Raw genomic sequence first — 16,597 nt, 5'->3', positions numbered from 1 at the left:
CCGACTCCCCCATCCCCAGGGACCCCACTCCACCCACGGGGCGCCCGGGGTCGCAGAACCCTTCCGCATAAGGATCCCCCTACTTCTCACACGAGGGGGGCAGCGGGGCGACCTACAGTGAACAAGTAGCACTCCCTGGAGTCTGATGTCACCACCTCCCCACTATAATGACCCCTGCGGCCTTTTTTGGTTTCAGGACAGGGGAACTGAGCCCTACGTAGTGGCTGGCCCCAGGATGCAGAACAAGCCATCTGCGACCCAGGACGCAAGACTTAAGACTCCACGCTCCCAGGCGGGGGCTAGGACCATGACTTTGCCCCCTTCCCTCCCCCCAGGAAAACAAAACACAGGCGGGGAGACTCGGGTCTTTATTAGCAAGCCCAGCCTGCGGCACCCTGCCCCGCCCCGGCTGGCAGTGAGTCGGGGTCTCTGTGCGGGGCGGGAGGGGAATCACTGCCTCTCCTCAAAACGTGTGCACCAGCTGGACTGCGGGTAGAGTCTGGACAATCTGGATGGAGGGCAGGCCCTGAGGGGTCATAACACCAGGCCCAGCTCCTGCGGGGACCACTTGCACCATCTGGGAGGCTGGAGCCCCGGGGAGCCCCGCGGGGCCCGAGGCTGGGCCTGACGGCGGTGGGGCCAGGAGCTGCAGCGTGGCGGTGCCTCCTCCAGTGTTGCTGCTGTCCAGCAGCTCAGTGGCTGGGGCGCTGCGGATGATGAGGAGTTTCTGTCCGGGTGGGCCGGTGGCAGGCGGCTCCGTCAGCCCAGGAGGAAGTGTTTCTACCTCCTGTACGCAGAGTCGAGTCTGTTCGCCATCGGCCCCGCTCAGCACCAGCACGCTCTGCAAGCCCTCGTCCGTCTGGAGTGTCTCAAAGAGGACATCCTGGACCACACCAGTGCTGGCCTCGCCATCCCCCGCCTCCCCGGGGCCCGGGCCAGTGAGCAACTCCTCAGCTGCCCCGCTCTGAACAACCAGCAGGTTGGGTGCCTCAGTAGCCACAGCTCCCCCACTGGAATTGGAGAGCTGGCCGGCCACGGGCTGGAGCTGGACCGTGGTCACCTCCTGTGCTGGCTGGAGCTGGACCGTGGTTACTTCCTGTGCTGGCTGGAGCTGGACTGTGGTCACCTCCTGCGCTGGCTGGAGCTGGACCGTGGTTACTTCTGGGGCTGGTCGGAGGGGCTGGAGCTGCACCCCACTCATTTCCTGTGGCCCTGCCTCCCCACCCCCCACATTCTGCAGAACGATGAGGCTCTGCCCTGTCCCGCTGGCCCCAGCGCTGGCCGCTCCCTGCACCCCTAGACCCCCAGGGCCTGGCAGCCAGACCACTCCCGCCCCCTGGCCCGCTTTCCCCACTGCCCGCGGGCCCTGCCTTGCACGGCCGCCCCCAGCCCCAGCACTGGAGGAGGGCAGCAGGATGAGCTTGGGAGGTGCGGGAGGGGGCGGAGGTGTAGGGGGCTGCACGCTGCTGGGGATCAGCTGGAGGCCCTGGGCAGTTTGCACCAGGAGGAACGTCTGAGAGTTGGGCGCTGCTGGCCCCAAGCTCGGGGCCTGGGCCGTGCCCCCCGCCACCTCGAGGGAGAGCGTGGCCTGGAGGTGGGGCAGGACGTGGACATCTTGGGTGGCTGGCGGGGCCCGCGCAGCAGCCAGTGGAGCAGGGGGCTGGGGGCCGGCGGCAGGGGCTGTGGTGCTGGGAGGCGTGTTGGCCGGGGCGTGCGTCCTCAGGTGCCGCTGCAGATAGGCGGCCATAACGAAGCCGCGACCGCAGATGGGGCAGGTGAAGGGGCGCTCCGCCGAGTGCGTGCGCTGGTGCAGCAGCAGGTTGGAGGAGTGGGTGAAGGTCTTGGGGCAGAGCGGGCAGCGGAAGGGCCGCTCGCCCGTGTGCACGCGCTGGTGCTGCCGCAGGTTGGAGGTCTGCGCGAAGCTCTTGCCGCAGACACCGCAGGCGTGGGGCCTCTCGCCAGTGTGCACGTGGCGGTGGCGACGCAGGCACGACGTGTTGCGGAAGGCCTTGCCACACTCCCCGCAGGCGTAGGGCCGCTCGCCAGAGTGCAGCCGCAGGTGGTACTGGTAGTGGGACGACCACTTGAAGGTGAGGCCGCACTGGCCACAGGTGAAGGCCCGCAGGCCCGTGTGCACCCGCTGGTGGATGGCCAGCAGGGAGGAGCGCTTGAAGGCCTTGCCGCACTCGCCACACTGGTAGGGCCGCTCGCCCGTGTGGTCCCGCAGGTGGTAGCGCAGCCCGGAGGAGCCCTTGAAGGACTTGCCGCACTCGGCACATTTGTAGGGCCGCTCCGCAGAAGCGGGGGCGGACGGGGGTGGCGGCGGGACGGGGGCGGCAGGCGCCAGCGGTTCCTGGGGGCAGGTCACCTCCGCAGCCTCAGCCTGCGGGGGCGGGCGCCCGGCCGCGGCCTCTTCCACGTGGCACTGCTGATGCGCCAGGAGGCTGGCCAGCTGCGGGAAGGAGCCGTCGCAGCTGCCGCAGCGGAACGCTTGCCCGCCGGCAGCCCCGTGGCTGTGCTGGTGGCGGGAGAGCCCAGCCACCGTCCGGAAGGACTTGCCGCAGGGCAGACAGGCAAAGCCAGGCGCGGGGGCGGCGGCGGGAGGAGGGGGCTGCGGCAGAGGGGACGGTGGCTGGTCGGCCTTGGGCGCCTCGGCGGGTGCCTCCTGGGGCTGGGGCGCCGCATCGGGCCCGGGGCACGGCTGGTGCTCCAGGAGCAGCTCCTCGCTGCTGAATCCCTGCTCGCAGCCATCGCAGCGGTACACCAGCTCCACCGTGGTCTCCGCCGCCGCCAAAAAGAGCTCAGGCACCACGGGCGGGGGCGGGGGCGGCGGGGCGGGAGGCGCGGGCGGGCTGTGGGGCTGGAGGTGCCGCTGCAGGTAGGCGTCGCACACGAAGACCTTGCCGGGCTCCCGGGACTGGGGGGGCGGGGCCGCGGAGGCGGTACCCGGGGCGGGGGCGGCGCCGTGCGTGCGCTGGTGCAGCAGCAGGTTGGAGGAGTGGGTGAAGGTCTTGGGGCAGAGCGGGCAGCGGAAGGGCCGCTCGCCCGTGTGCACGCGCTGGTGCTGCCGCAGGTTGGTGCTCTGCGTGAAGCTCTTCCCGCAGACTCCACAGGTGTAGGGCCGCTCGCCGGTGTGCACGTGGCGGTGGCGCCGCAGGCTGGACGAGTTCTTGAAGGCCTTGGGGCAGTCCGGGCACGGGTAGGGGCGCTCGCCTGTGTGCTGCCTTAAGTGGTACTGGTAGTGGGACGACCACTTGAAGGCCAGGCCGCACTGGCCGCAGATGAAGGCCCGCAGGCCGGTGTGCACGCTACGGTGGATCTGCAGCAGAGAGGAGCGCTTGAAGGCCTTGGGACAGTCGGGGCACTGGTAGGGCCGCTCGCCCGTGTGGCCTCGCTGGTGGTAGAGCAGGGCCGAGGAGCCTTTGAAAGCCTTGGGGCAGTCTGGGCACTTGTAGGGCCGCTCGCCTGTGTGCGTGCGCTGGTGGTGCAGGAGCCGGGACGACCACCGGAATGACTTGCCACACTCCCCACATTCGTACTGGGCCGCCGGGGCAGGGGCCGCAGGGCCTGGCTTCTCCCCGGCCCCCTCCGCAGTAGAGGCCGGCGCCATGTCCGCGTGGGAGCCGACCATCACACCTGGGGGAGGGATTCTGGGTCAGCGGCTCACCCCCGCACTGGATCATCTCAACCCCAAACCCACACACGGGCTCTTTAAGGGACAGGGACTACCTCCCCAGGTCACCCACTTTGCAGGGGACCTTCCTTAGGATGAGGGTCTCCAATGGTCCCAGTTTGCTTGGGACTTGAGCAGGTGCCAGCGATGCTGCACTTTCAGTGCTGAAATGGAAACTCCCCAGCAAACTGTGGCCACCCTCCTTAGGAGGCTAGCCAGGTCTGAGAAGGCTGGGGCCCGCCTTCAAGAGAGCAAGCACTGCCTGTAGGAGTCTGCTCCCTCCCTCTCCAGACAGGCAGGGTCCCTGAAGACCACACGCAGAGAGGCTCTCCTGGCTCCTCCTTGCTGCTCTCCCTCTAAGACCTTATCCTCCATCTCGGCCTCAACACTCCTCCCACTGCCATACCCTAAGCCTTTTCATTTTAACTAAAGCCTCCTCATGGGGCCAGGCACTGTGGCTCACGCCTGTAATCCCAGCACTTTGAGAGGCTGAGGCAGGCAGATCACCTGCGATCAGGAATTTGAAACCAGCCTGGCCAACATGGTCAAACCCTGTCTCTATTAAAAATACAAAAATTAGCCCGGCATGGTGGTGGGCGCCTGTAATCCCAGCTACTCAGGAGGCTGAGGCGGGAGAATTGCTTGAACACAGGAGGTGGAGGTTTCAGTGAGCCAAGATCGTGCCACTGCACTCCAGCCTGGGTGACAAGAGTGAAACTCCATCTCAAAAAATAATTAAATAAATAAATAATTAGCTGGACGTGGTGGCAGGCACCTGTAATCCCAGCTACTTGGGAGGCTGAGGCAGGAGAATCACTTGAGCCTGGGAGGTGGAGGTTGCAGTAAGCCGAGATCACACCACTGTACTCCAGCCTGGGCCATAGAGAGAGACTCCATCTCAAAAAAAAAAAAAAGGAAAAAAAAAGTGTCCTCATGGTTGAGCCTGGAACAACCTACTTCCCAACACCACAAAGCCTTCTAGGTCACTCTAGCTTGGTGCTCCAACTCCCCAAATCCTTAGACTCCAGCCCATCTACCATCCAGCGCGCCCTTTCACCTCCAGCCAACCCACATCCTCACTCCTGCCCGACCCTGCACAAACGCTGCAGGTGGCCATGACAGGCACCCCCTTGCCTGGCCTCAGTCTCACTTTCCCTTCAAGCCCACAAAATCTGCGGCCCCCTCACCATCACCCTCCCTGGCTCACACTACATGTCTCTGGCCCATGCACTCCCCAGGTGACTACCTGACATGCTTCTTTCTCCTGAAACCTCCAGCCCCTCCTCTCCCCTCCTGTTCTTGGCAGGCAACCCTGTCCTTGATCATGCCTCTGTGAAAATAAAAGCAATCAGACGCGAAGTTTCTCACATTCTGACCACGATACTAGTGGTTCTCAACTGGGACAAACTGTGCCTTCAACCCAGGGGACATCCCGCAATGCCTGGAGGCATTTGGGGTTATCTGTTAACTAGAGAGGCAAGTGCTCCTGGCATCTAGTGGGTGGAGGCCAGGGATGCTGCCCAACATCCTACAATTCACAGGACGGCCCCACAGCGGAGAACAATCCCATCCACAATGTCAGCAGTGCGAGGTCCAGAAACCCTGCGCAATCCTTCCCCACAGGCCTGACCCAGTGCCCGTGGACTGTGCCTTCCCACCCACATCCTCCACTTTTCCTCCTCTCCTGGACGTTCCCATCTGCAGAACCAACAATCTATGTCTCCCATCTTTAAAAACCAAAAAGCTCTTCACTCCACTTCCCTGTCCAGCTGCAGACTCGTTTCTCCATTCCTTCACAGCAGAGCAGCTCAAGTGTCAGCCCGCTCTTTCCCAGCGCAAACCCCTTCAGTCCCACGCGGGTGCCCCCACTCCATGGCCTGGGCGGCGCGTGGCCCGCAATGGCCCACTTGTCACTGGGTCCGTGGCCCGCCTCCCCCTGGCCTCCGGGATACCTCGCTCCCTCACTGCCCTCCGTCACCTGTCACCCCATCTCAGTCCCCAGCTTGGTTCCTTCTCACCTCCCTGACCTCTAGATGTGGGAGCGCCCGGGGCTCCGGCACCACTTTGTCCTCTGTCTGTCCTCTCTCCCTGGGAGCCCCCACCCACTCTCAGGACTCCACTGTCTATGAACAATGACTCCAGGCCTCCAGCTCTATAAGACCTACCCTCTGAATGCCACACCACCTGCTAGACTGTTCCACCTGGATGCCTCATTAGACACCTCCAACTTAACATGCCCAAAATCTAACTATGGTCTTCTGCTCCTCGCCCCCAACTTCTACTCCACCCATAGCTTCTCCATCTCTGAAAATGGCAGCCGTCTTCTTCCTCAGGCCAAAGGCTCCTCGCCTCCTCTCTCTCGATTGCCCCTGTCCGCAGATTCCCCTTCCAGGCGGAACATATCCAAGATCTGGCCACTTCTCACAGGCCTCCACCTTGATCTGAGGCACCACTGTCTCTCTCCCAGGCAGCTGCAACAGCCTCCCCACGGATCGCCGTGTTTCCACCCGTGCCCTGCCCACCCGTCTGTTCCCAATACAGCAACTGAAGCGAACCCGTCAACAGGGAGGGCTGGGCATTGCATTCCTGTACTCAGAAATCTGCCACAGTTCTGGTCTTCGAGCCTGCCGACTTCCTGCAGCCTGTCCCCTCCCTGACTTGTCCTACTGCTATCCTCACTGGCCACCTGCCCCTGGTCACTCTGGTCACCCAGGATGGCCAGGCACGCCTGCTCCCACCTCAGGGCACCTGCCTAGAACCACCCCCTTCCTTTCCACCTGTGCCCGCCACTCGCTCTTTCACCTCCGAGTCTTCGCTGAAATCCCCTCTGCAAGAGCTTCCCTGACAGCCCTATTTAAATCTACAATCCCTTCCAACTCCCCATTCCCTTTTCCTGCCTTATTTTTCCCCCGCAGCAATTATCACCTTCTAATGTACCAGGATTCTCAGCCTCAGCAGTGCTGAGATGTGGGGCCAGACCATTCTCTGTTGAGGGCTGTCCTGTGCACTGCAGGGTGTCGAGCAGCAGCCCTGGCCCCCGGCCTCGACCCACTGGACGCCTGACATTGGCCTATGAAGCCCTCCTCTACGCTGTCCACAAAGCTCACTCCTGCACCTCCGAGTCTTAGCCGCAGTGTCGCCCCTGGGGAGCACCGTTGCCCCCAGATGAGAACCGCTACTATATAACCAGTGTGCTTTCTGTTTTATTCTGCCTCCCCATGCTAGAATGTCAACGCCGGGAAAATAGGGGCTTCTGTCTGGTTCACTGTTGTATGCCATCCCAGTGCCTACAATAATGTCTGGCAGAGTGTGTGCGCAGTAAACAAATTTTAAATGAATGAAGGCTAGGCATCCCCGTCGGACAAGCTACAAGAACTTGTGTGTTTTTTTTGTTTTTTTTTGGAGACAGGGTCTCACTCTGTCACCGAGGCTGGAGTGCAGTGGCGCGATCTCGGCTCACTGCAACCTTCGCCTCCCGGCTTCAAGCGATTCTCCTGCCTCAGCCTCCCGAGTAGCTGGGATTACAGGTGCACGCCACCGCGCCCGGCTAATTTTTGTATTTTTAGTAGAGACGGGGTTTCACCATATTGCCTGGGCTGGTCTTGAACTCCTGGCCTCAAGTGATCCGCCCGCCTCGGCCTCCCAAAGTGCTGGGATTACAGGCGTGAGCCACCGCGCCTAGCCAAGAACTTCCTTTTTAAAAGATAAGTGTACCCTTTAATATGTAAGCAGGTTAGATCGCGCCACTGCACTCCAGCCTGGGCAACGGAGCAAGACTCCGTCTCCAGAAAAAAAAAAAAAAAAAAAAAACAAACCTACTGATGCTAAGAAGCTGCACGTGCCTTTGAGAAGCCCCAGCATCTCCTTAAAAGAGATATCCGTGCCCTGAAAGAGCGGGGTCCCATTTAACAAGAAGACATCCCCTTTAAAAGGCCGCGCCACACCCGTTCAGCAGGCTGGACCTCCCCTTTAAGGGGATGCTGCCACTGGAGCCCCATCTCCACTTTTGTTGAGCTAAACCAGGGATCGCTTTGAAGCAACCAGGACTCAGGAGTTTTTGCTTCAATGTCTGGGAAACGGTCACTGGCCTTTAATGAGATAACCGCCTTTTAGGGGAAAAACATTGTTTTAAGTCAGAAAGCTTCTGTAAAAATGCAAAGCCTGACCCGCCCTCTCAATGTGGCCCCTTGCCCTTTAAGAGGGCGGACCCGGCCTAGCTGGCAAATGTCGGAGGTGAAATAGTGACTCCCCTTTAAGGTACCCCTTCCGGTTTCACGCCCCCCCCCCCGCCCCACCCCCTGCAACTTCTCCGCCCTCCGGTCCCTCCCCCCACCCCCACCCCCTCCGGTCTCTCACCTGCGGCCCCAATCGGGGGAACGAGGGTGGCAGCCCCAGGACCTTCCCGCGGGGGTCGACGGGAAGGTGGGGCCCCGGCAGCGGCGGTGCAGCTGTGGGGACCGGGGAGGGGGGGCAGGGGCGCACTCCCTCCCAACGGCCCCCGGCGCGAGGCACCCAACCTTTATCGGCGGCCTCTCGCGCACACAAACCCCGACGTCGCCGTCGGTGCGTCACAACGCACGTACTCCGAGTTCCCGCCCCCGGACCCTCCCATTGGCTGTGCGAGGCCTCGTCGAGCTCGGGCGCAGGCGGTGCGCGGCATCCTGGGAGTTGTAGTTCTCCCAGTTGTGGTCGCGGACTCCAGTTGTCAGGTCTTGGGGGCCGAGGCCCCGGTGAGCCCAAGGCCAGGGACGGCCAGCTCGAGACGCGGGGTCGCAAGTTCCCCTTATTAATCCCGATTCCCTCTCATCTGCAAAAAAATCCTTCCATGCACCACGGTTGTACAAAAATCCCTCCCGTGAAGCGGGCCCCGCCCCCAGGGTGTAATCGCTCCAGCGGGAAAACGAGGCCTGGAGCGCTTCCAGTCCCTCGGTAGAGCCACGTGCTCAGGATTTTCGGGCGTGTGCTTCGTGCACGCTCATCCAGACGCTGCAGAAACCTGGTTCCTGCTGGGCAAAGGTCTGTTCTGGGAGGCTGGAATCCACAGACTCCTTGTGGGGCCTAGGGTTTTAGTGGGAGACCGAGCTGCTCCAAAGCCCCTCTCCACGCTCAACCCCCGCCCAACCCAGCGTTCCAGCCACACTGGCTTTTCTGAGGGTCATTAAACGCAGTTTCTCAACCAGAGCACTAGTGCCATTTGGGATGGATTCATTGCAGCGGGGACTGTCCTACACACTCTAGGGCCCCCACTCACTAGATGCAGGTAGCATCCCCAGCCCCGCTCCACACACCCCGTAGGAGAGCTCAGAATATCTCCAGATAGAGATTTTCGCGGTGGCTCACACCTGTAATCCCAGCACTTTGGGAGGCTGAGGCAGGCAGATCACTTGAGGTCAAGAGTTCAAGACCAGCCTGGCCAACATGGTGAAACCCCGTCTCTACTAAAAATACAAAAATTAGCCGGGCATGGTGGCAGGCACCTGTAACCCCAGCTACTCAGGAGGCTGAGGCAAGAGGATCGCTTGAGCCCAGGAGTCGGAGGTTGCAGTGAGCCAAGATCGTGCCACTGCACTCCAGCCAGGGTGACAGAGTGAGACTCTGTGTTAAAAAAAAAAAACAACAACAACAAAAAGAATATCTCCAGACATTGCCACATGTTCACTAGTTGAGAGCCACTGCTCAAAGGCAGTACCCTCAGCTTGAAGACCATTCTGCATGCTGTTTCTCAGGCCAGAAGGCCCTTCTACCCTTAACCCATCCCTGCCCAGCAAGATCCCACTGGAAAGCCTCCTGTGCTAGGTGGTGTCCCTCTTACATGCTCAGCGACATTTATCTATGTCCCATGACAGCGAGGACCTTTCGTGTCTTTGCTGCCCAGGTATTCCAAACAACCAGCATGGGCCCTGATGGAGAAGCAGACGGTACTTGTTTGTTGAATGAGTGGATTTTTCCAGCCTCCCACACCGTTTCCCAAGTCCACAAGCAGGCTGGAACTCAGGGCTGATCTGCGGTGGTGTGGACCCACCCCTACCTTACAGGGTCTTGGTGCTGATGTCTCCGTGCATTCGTGCGTGTAAAAACCCTTGGCATCCAGCTCAGCCCAACATTCCTTTCACGTCAGCATTAACCACACAAAGCGGCTGCCATGCAGGGTGGAGACGTGGATGGGAATGCACTGCCCAGCTGGCTGCCAGGCTAGGAAAGCCCAGAGGTGCGGATCCCACTTCCGTCCCCCTTGCCTCGGGCCATTTTGGTCTCTGCAGTAGTGAAAGGGGCCCTCAGCTCAGCCCCCCTCATTTACCTGCCCACGCAGAGGCATTACAAAAGGGATGGGACACCCAGCCTGGGCAGTACAGCAAGACCTCATTTCTACAAAAAATAAGCTTCCTGTGGTGTACATACCTGTAGTCCCAGCTACTCAGGAAGCTGAGGTGAGGGGATCGCTTGAGCCTGGGAGGTTAAGTCTGCAGTGAACCGAGATTGTACCACTGCACTCCAGCCTGGACAAGAGAGCGAGACCCTCTCAAAAAAAAAGAAAGAGAGATTGGCATGGCTAAGACTGGCTCTTACTCTCCTTAACATTCCCCACTTTGCAGCCAGAAGGTGAACAAAGGTTTTGAAGTCAATGGCCTTGGGCAACCTGCTGTCTCTGAAAAGGTGGTGTGGATTCAACAGGTTTGTTTTCAGAACAGCCTCGCAGCCCCTTGGAGACAGTGACCGGAGGAAACTCAGGCCAGCCTTGTGTCCAGCACTTTCCAGGCCAAGGAGGAGTCTCAGGGACCCAGATGGGGAGGTGGGGTTGTCTCCTAACCCCCCGGAACATCTGTGTAGCCCTTCAAGGGATGTTGTCAGGTCCCTCATGCTGACAAGTAAACAGAATCAGCTGGGTGCAGTGGCTCATGCCTGTAATCCCAGGCCTTTGGGAGGCTGAAGCAGGCGGATCACAAGGTCAGGAGTTCGAGACCAGCTTGGCCAGCGTGGTGAAACCCCCCCCCAACTCTACTAAAAATACAAAAATCAGCCAGGCATGGTGGCGCGTGCCTGTAGTCCCAGCTACTCAGGAGGCTGAGGCAGGAGAATTGCTTGAACCCAGGAGGCAGAGGTTTGCAGTGAGCCGAGATCGTGCCACAGCACTCCAGCCTGGGCGACAGAGCAAGACTCCATCTCAAACAAACAAACAGACAAAAACAGAATCAAATAGCCAAAAACATGGATAAGATCACACAGAATCCTCAGCTGCAGCTGTTCCAGGCCCAGCAGCGCTCCCACCCACAGTCCAGACCAGGGCTCCACCCCAGGTCCTGCCCTGGGAGCTGGGTCATAGCAATGTGGAGGGGGAAAACCAATAAAAAACTCACCATCCCAGTGAGCTCACAAAACCTCCCAGGGCATGCAGTGGTAACAAAGAAGACAGACTACCCGCTGCTCAGTGCTGCAGGGAAAAGCCCAGCGGGGGATAAAGCTCCAGGGCAGCAAGGGGACCTCCAGAGCCTCAAACGCAGGACCAAGCAGACGCGCGGATGCACACCCCTGCACCCCTGCAGGCCCCAGACGTTTCTGTTTCTGGCCAACAACACCCCGCACCAGGTGTTTTGGGGGCACGGTTCCCCCCACCCCAACTAGATCAGCCTCCTTGCCCAGCCTCAGACTCTGAGCCCTGCCCCCTGCCAGCCAGGTAAACCATTCAGCCCCTCTAGGTACCCACCCTTTCCTGGGGACTGTGCTGTCACTTCCGCCCAGAGGCCCTGCACGCACTTGGGAGATTCTTCTCCATCCACCCCCATCCCAGGAGGATCAGCCGAAGGCTTTAGAAGGGACCTGCCACTCCCTTTCCCTCCCTCTCCAGAAAGTGGGGTCAGGGAGTGAAGGAGGGATCTGGAGTAATGACTGGATTCCCAGGGCCAGCGATGAAAAATAAAACGTCCTTTTCCAAACAAGTCGGGTAAGGAACCAGAGATGCATTTTAGGTTGAAGGCGGAGGGGACGGGCAAAGGGAGTCACCGGTTGCCGGCCATCCCCCGGAACAGGGGACCCAGGGGGCAGGCCCTTGCCTCCCACAGACTCAGGATGCTTCCTTCTTTTTTTTGGAAACAGAGTCCCATTCTATTGCCCAGGCTGGAGTACAATGGCACAATCTTGGCTCACTGCAACCTCGGCCTCCCGGGTTCAAATGATTCTCCTGCCTCAGCCTCCTGAGTAGCTGAGATTACAGGCATTTGCCACTATGCCCAGCTAATTTGGCTGGTCTTGAACTCCTGACCTCAGATGATCCACCCGCCTCGGTCTCCCAAAGTGTTCAGATTACAGGCGGGATCCACCGCACCTGGCCAGGATGCTCCCTTCTGACATCTCTTAAGGCCCCCGTGGCAGCCCCAGCCGGCCCCAAGCTAACGGGCCTCTCCACTCAGAAGGGGTGTGATCCCCATTTCACAGTGGGGTAAGGCAAGGCCCTCTGAAGTCTCATGGCCAAGCCACAGAACCAGGAAGTGATGTAGTGTCCTGTAACCAGGAAGGAATTCCTACAGCCCAGAAGTGGTTGGACCAGGAATGTGCCCAACCCCAGAGTCCACCCACTTCCAAGGCCTATCGAGCAGGTCTCACATGCACGGTCAGGCACTCATGGAGGCTGCCCAGGACATGGGAGCCAGGGGAGACTCCTCGTGCAGCCTGGGGGAAACCAGGGCAGACTCCCTGGAGGAAGCAACAATATACAGGGTTCCATCTGTACAGGTAAAACCTTCCTCACGCAGCCTGGGGGAAACCAGGGCAGACTCCCTGGAGGAAGCAACAATATACAGGGTTCCATCTGTACAGGTAAAACCTTCCTGACGCAGCCTGGGGGAAACCAGGGCAGACTCCCTGGAGGAAGCAACAATATACAGGGTTCCATCTGTACAGGTAAAACCTTCCTGACGCAGCCTGGGGGAAACCAGGGCAGACTCCCTGGAGGAAGCAACAATATACAGGGTTCCATCTGTACAGGTAAAACCTTCCTCACGCAGCCTGGGGGAAACCAGGGCAGACTCCCTGGAGGAAGCAACAATATACAGGGTTCCATCTGTACAGGTAAAACCTTCCTCCATTTTAAGTGCAAAAACGGACAGGGACAGATGCATGCTAAATTTCCTCCCTAAGAGTGGCTGCTACCTTCTACGATGACCCCCAGGGACCCGTGCCCTTGTGTGAGTGCCTTTGCATCATGTGGATGTGATGGTTATGTGATATGGTGAAGGCAAGGGGGGTCTTGGCAGATGCAATCAAGGATCCTGAGGCCAGGCGCGGTGGCTTACATCTGTAATCCCAGCACTTTGGGAGGCCAAGGCGGGTGGATGACCTGAGGTCAGGAGTTTGAGACCAGCCTGGCCAACATGGTGAAACCCCATTTCTACTAAAAATACAAAAAATCAGCAGGGCATGGTGGCAGGGCACCTGTAATCCCAGCTACTTGGGAGGCTGAGGCAAGAGAATCGCTTGAACCCGGGAGGCGGAGGTTGCAATGAGCTGAGATCGCACCACTGCACTCCAGGCTGGGCAACAAGAGCGAAACTCTGTCTCATTAAAAAAAAAAAAAATAGGATCCTGATTAGTGGACTTTGAGTTCATCAAGGGGAAAAGTGACGGTTAAATTTTATGCATGTACTGAACTGGGCCGCGGGATGCGCGGGTACCTGGTTAAACGTGATTCTGGGTGTGTCCGTGACAGTGTTTCCGGAAGAGATTAATTGGTAGCGTGAGCCAAGCAGGCAGCCTCCCGCAGGGTGGGTGGGCCTCAGCCTCAGGGGAAGGTGGAACTCCATCCCTGCCCTCAGGCTTGAGCTGTAGCATCAATCTTCTCCTGCCCTCGGGCCTCCTGGTCCTCCAGCCTTCAGACTCACACTGGAATCTACTCCATCAGCTCCTGGTTCTCAGGCCCTCCAACTACACCACTGGCTTTTCTGGTTCTCCAGTTTGCAGACAGCAAACATGGGGCTTCTTGGCCTCCATAATCACATGAACCAATACCTTCTAATCACTCTCTTTCTGGAGAGATGTATCTATATTGTTGTAGCTATTCATATCTATCGCTATCCTCATAGATCAATCTATGGATAAATAGATGGATGTATAGGTTGATTGATGGGTGGATAGACAGACATAGCCTATTGATTCTGTTTCTCTGGAGAACCCTGACTAATACAGGAAGATTACCCTGGGTGGATCTGACCTAGTCAGTGGAGCTCTTTAAAGCTGGACCTAGAGATCAAAGATGGGAAGCACTGAGGTTCTCCTGCTGGCCGTGAACCCAGGGCTCCATGCCTTCCTCAGAAGCACGGAAATGAGGCCGGGCGCGGTGGCTCACGCCTGTAGTCCTAGCACTTTGGGAGGCCGAGGCGGGCGGATCACGAGGTCAGGAGATCGAGACCATCCTGGCTAACACGGTGAAGCCCCGTCTCTACTAAAAATACAAAAAATTAGCCGGGCGTGGTGGCGGGCGCCTGTAGTCCCAGCTACTCGGGGGTCTGAGGCAGGAGAATGGCATGAACCCAGAAGGCGGAGCTTGCAGTGAGCCGAGATCGCGCCACTGCACTCCAGCCTGGGCGACAGAGTGAGACTCCGTCTCAAAAAAAAAAAAAGAAGCACGGAAATGGATGCTGCTATGTAAACCTGGGAGCGGACCCCAACCTCAGATGAGACCACAGCCCTGGGTCACTCGAGGATTGCAGCGATCCTGACCAGAGGACCAAGATAAACCACGGTGCTGGACTCCTGGCCACGGAACTGTGAGATAATGAATGTACGTTGTTTAAAGCCATTGCATCAGTGGCTATTTCTTACACAGCGTAGAGAGCGAATACACTCATTATATATATGAGTCTGCTGGGACCCCCATAGCAAAGTCCCACACTGAGTGGCCCCAACAACAGAAACTTATTTTCTCCCGGTTCTGGATACAGAAGTCCGCGGTCAAGGTGTCGGGAGGGTTGCTTTCCCCCGAGGCCTCTCCCCTTGGCTTGCAGACGCTTGTCTTCCTTGTGGAGCCTCCATGGTGGCCCCTCTGTGTGTGTCTGTGTCCTAATCTCTTCTGTAAGGACACCAGTCAGATTGCATTAGGGCCCACCCTAATGGCCTTGTTTAACTTAATTGCCTCCCCTCCCCTCCCTTCTCCTTTCCTCTCCTCTCTTTTCTTTTCTTTTCTTTCTTTTTTTTTTTGAGACGGAGTCTCGCTCTGTCGCCCAGGCTGGAGTGCAGTGGCCCGATCTCGGCTCACTGCAAGCTCCGCCTCCTGGGTTCACGCCATTCTCCTGCCTCAGCCTCCCAAGTAGCTGGGACTACAGGCGCCCGCCACCAAGCCCGGCTAATTTTTTGTATTTTTAGTAGAGATGGGGTTTCACTGTGTTAGCCAGGATGGTCTCGATCTCCTGACCTTGTGATCCGCCCGCCTCAGCCTCCCAAAGTGCTGGGATTACAGGCTGAGCCACCGCGTCCGGCCCCTTTTCTTTTCTTTCATCGAGACGGAGTTTCACTTTTGTTGCTCAGGCTGGAGTGCAATGGTGTGCTCTCGGCTCACTGAAACCTCCATCTCCCAGGTTCAAGTGATTCTCCTGCCTCAGCTTCCGGAGAAGCTGGGATTACAGGCATGAACCACCACATCCGGCTAATTTTGTATTTTTAGTAGAGACGGGGTTTCTCCATGTTGGTCAGGCTGGTCTCGAACTCCCGACCTCAGGTGATCCACCTGCCTCGGCCTCCCAAAGTGCTGGGATTACAGGTGTGAGCCACAGAGACTCAGATTAATTGCCTCTTTAAAGACTTTCTCCTAATACTGTCTCACTCTGGAGCATGGGGGTTACAACTTCAACATCTGAATCTGGGGGGACACAGGCAGCCAAGGCCTGCCTTCTCTCAGAAGAAGAGTTGTGAACCAAATACGACAGGGTTGGCCCCTCTGCGTCTGGGTTGGGAACACCAGGGTGATGCATTGTGACTCTGCCATCTGTACATTTTTATAATAAATTTTAAGGGGTCCAGGGGCGGCGGCTCACGCCTATAATCCCAGCACTTTGGGAGGCCAAGGCAGGCGGATCACCTGAGGTCAGGAGTTCGAGACCAGCCTGGCCAACATGGTGAAACCCTGTCTCTACTAAAAATTCAAAAGTTAGCTGGGCGTGGTGGTGCACGCCCGTAATTCCAGCTACTTGGGAGGCTGAGGCAGGAGACTCTCTTGAACCCAGGAGGCAGAAGTTGCAGTGAGCCAGGATTGCACCACTGCACTCCAGCCTGGGTGACAGAGAGAGATTCTGTCTCAAAAAAAAAAAAAAAAAGACTAGGCATGCAGTGGCTCATACCTGTAATCCCAGCACATTGAGAGGCCGAGGCGGGTGGATCAAGAGGTCAGGAGATTGAGACCATCCTGGCTAACACGGTGAAACCCCATCTCTACTAAAAATACAAAAAATTAGCCGGGCGTGGTGGCGGGCACCTGTAGTCCCAGCTACTTGGGAGGCTGAGGCAGGAGAATGGCGTGAACCTGGGAGGCGGAGCTTGCAGTGAGCCGAGATCGCGCCACTGCACTCCAGCCTGGGCGACAGAGCGAGACTCCATCTCAGAAAAAAAAAAAAAAATTAAGGGAAACAAGGTCCCACAATGACTGGATGAGAGGGAGCAGATAGCAGATGAGCAGGTGGGGACAGGGAAGGACACACCCTGGGTTGTCCCTGGCTTCCTGGCCTGGCCCTGACACCCCCATCCAGATTGTAGGGGGATTGGAGGGTGGGGTCTCCACATTCCAGCTGTAGCAAGGCCTGCAAAGAAGGTTGGGTTAGACCCTGCCCCAAACCCTCTATGGTTCTCCATCATGCTTACCCTCATAGCCCAACCCTTGCCTGGCTCACAAAGCCCGGCAGGTCTGCTCCCCGCGCCCCCTCGGCTTCTCTGACTTCACCTCCT

General features: G+C 58.5%; 1 protein-coding gene across 1 annotated transcript, besides 5 other annotated features; it reads right to left on the bottom strand.

Annotated features, from left to right (window-relative positions):
• ZNF628 (zinc finger protein 628) lies at positions 350–8,220 on the bottom strand. The gene is made up of 3 exons (NM_033113.3): positions 8,030–8,220; positions 4,920–5,003; positions 350–3,636 (listed from the first exon to the last, which is right to left on the bottom strand). The coding sequence occupies exons 2-3, from the start codon at positions 4,924–4,926 to the stop codon at positions 464–466; spliced, it is 3,180 nt and encodes a 1,059-aa protein (NP_149104.3). The 5' UTR covers positions 4,927–5,003; positions 8,030–8,220; the 3' UTR covers positions 350–463.
• Positions 1,870–2,583: an enhancer, noted in NCBI's record as "H3K27ac-H3K4me1 hESC enhancer chr19:55993621-55994334 (GRCh37/hg19 assembly coordinates)". NCBI's record gives its function as "activates a minimal SCP1, AML or CMV promoter by ChIP-STARR-seq in naive H9 embryonic stem cells {active_cell/tissue: H9 hESC(naive)}" and the evidence as "EXISTENCE:reporter gene assay evidence [ECO:0000049][PMID:30033119]".
• Positions 1,870–2,715: a biological region, named in NCBI's record as "Sharpr-MPRA regulatory region 3758".
• Positions 2,421–2,715: a silencer, noted in NCBI's record as "tiled region #3758; K562 Repressive non-DNase unmatched - State 18:Pol2". NCBI's record gives its function as "represses a minimal TATA promoter and a strong SV40 promoter by Sharpr-MPRA in K562 cells {active_cell/tissue: K562}" and the evidence as "EXISTENCE:reporter gene assay evidence [ECO:0000049][PMID:27701403]".
• Positions 7,499–7,822: a silencer, noted in NCBI's record as "fragment chr19:55988382-55988705 (GRCh37/hg19 assembly coordinates)". NCBI's record gives its function as "represses an EF-1alpha promoter that drives an FKBP-Casp9 reporter gene in an ReSE screen in K562 erythroleukemia cells {active_cell/tissue: K562}" and the evidence as "EXISTENCE:reporter gene assay evidence [ECO:0000049][PMID:32094911]".
• Positions 7,955–8,154: a silencer, noted in NCBI's record as "silent region_11037". NCBI's record gives its function as "represses an Ori minimal core promoter by ATAC-STARR-seq in GM12878 lymphoblastoid cells {active_cell/tissue: GM12878}" and the evidence as "EXISTENCE:reporter gene assay evidence [ECO:0000049][PMID:35858748]".

The sequence above is a fragment of the Homo sapiens genome, chromosome 19 (genome assembly GCF_000001405.40).
Source record: "Homo sapiens chromosome 19, GRCh38.p14 Primary Assembly".
Lineage (NCBI taxonomy): Eukaryota > Metazoa > Chordata > Mammalia > Primates > Hominidae > Homo > Homo sapiens.
This window is presented reverse-complemented; position numbering and strand designations above follow the sequence as displayed.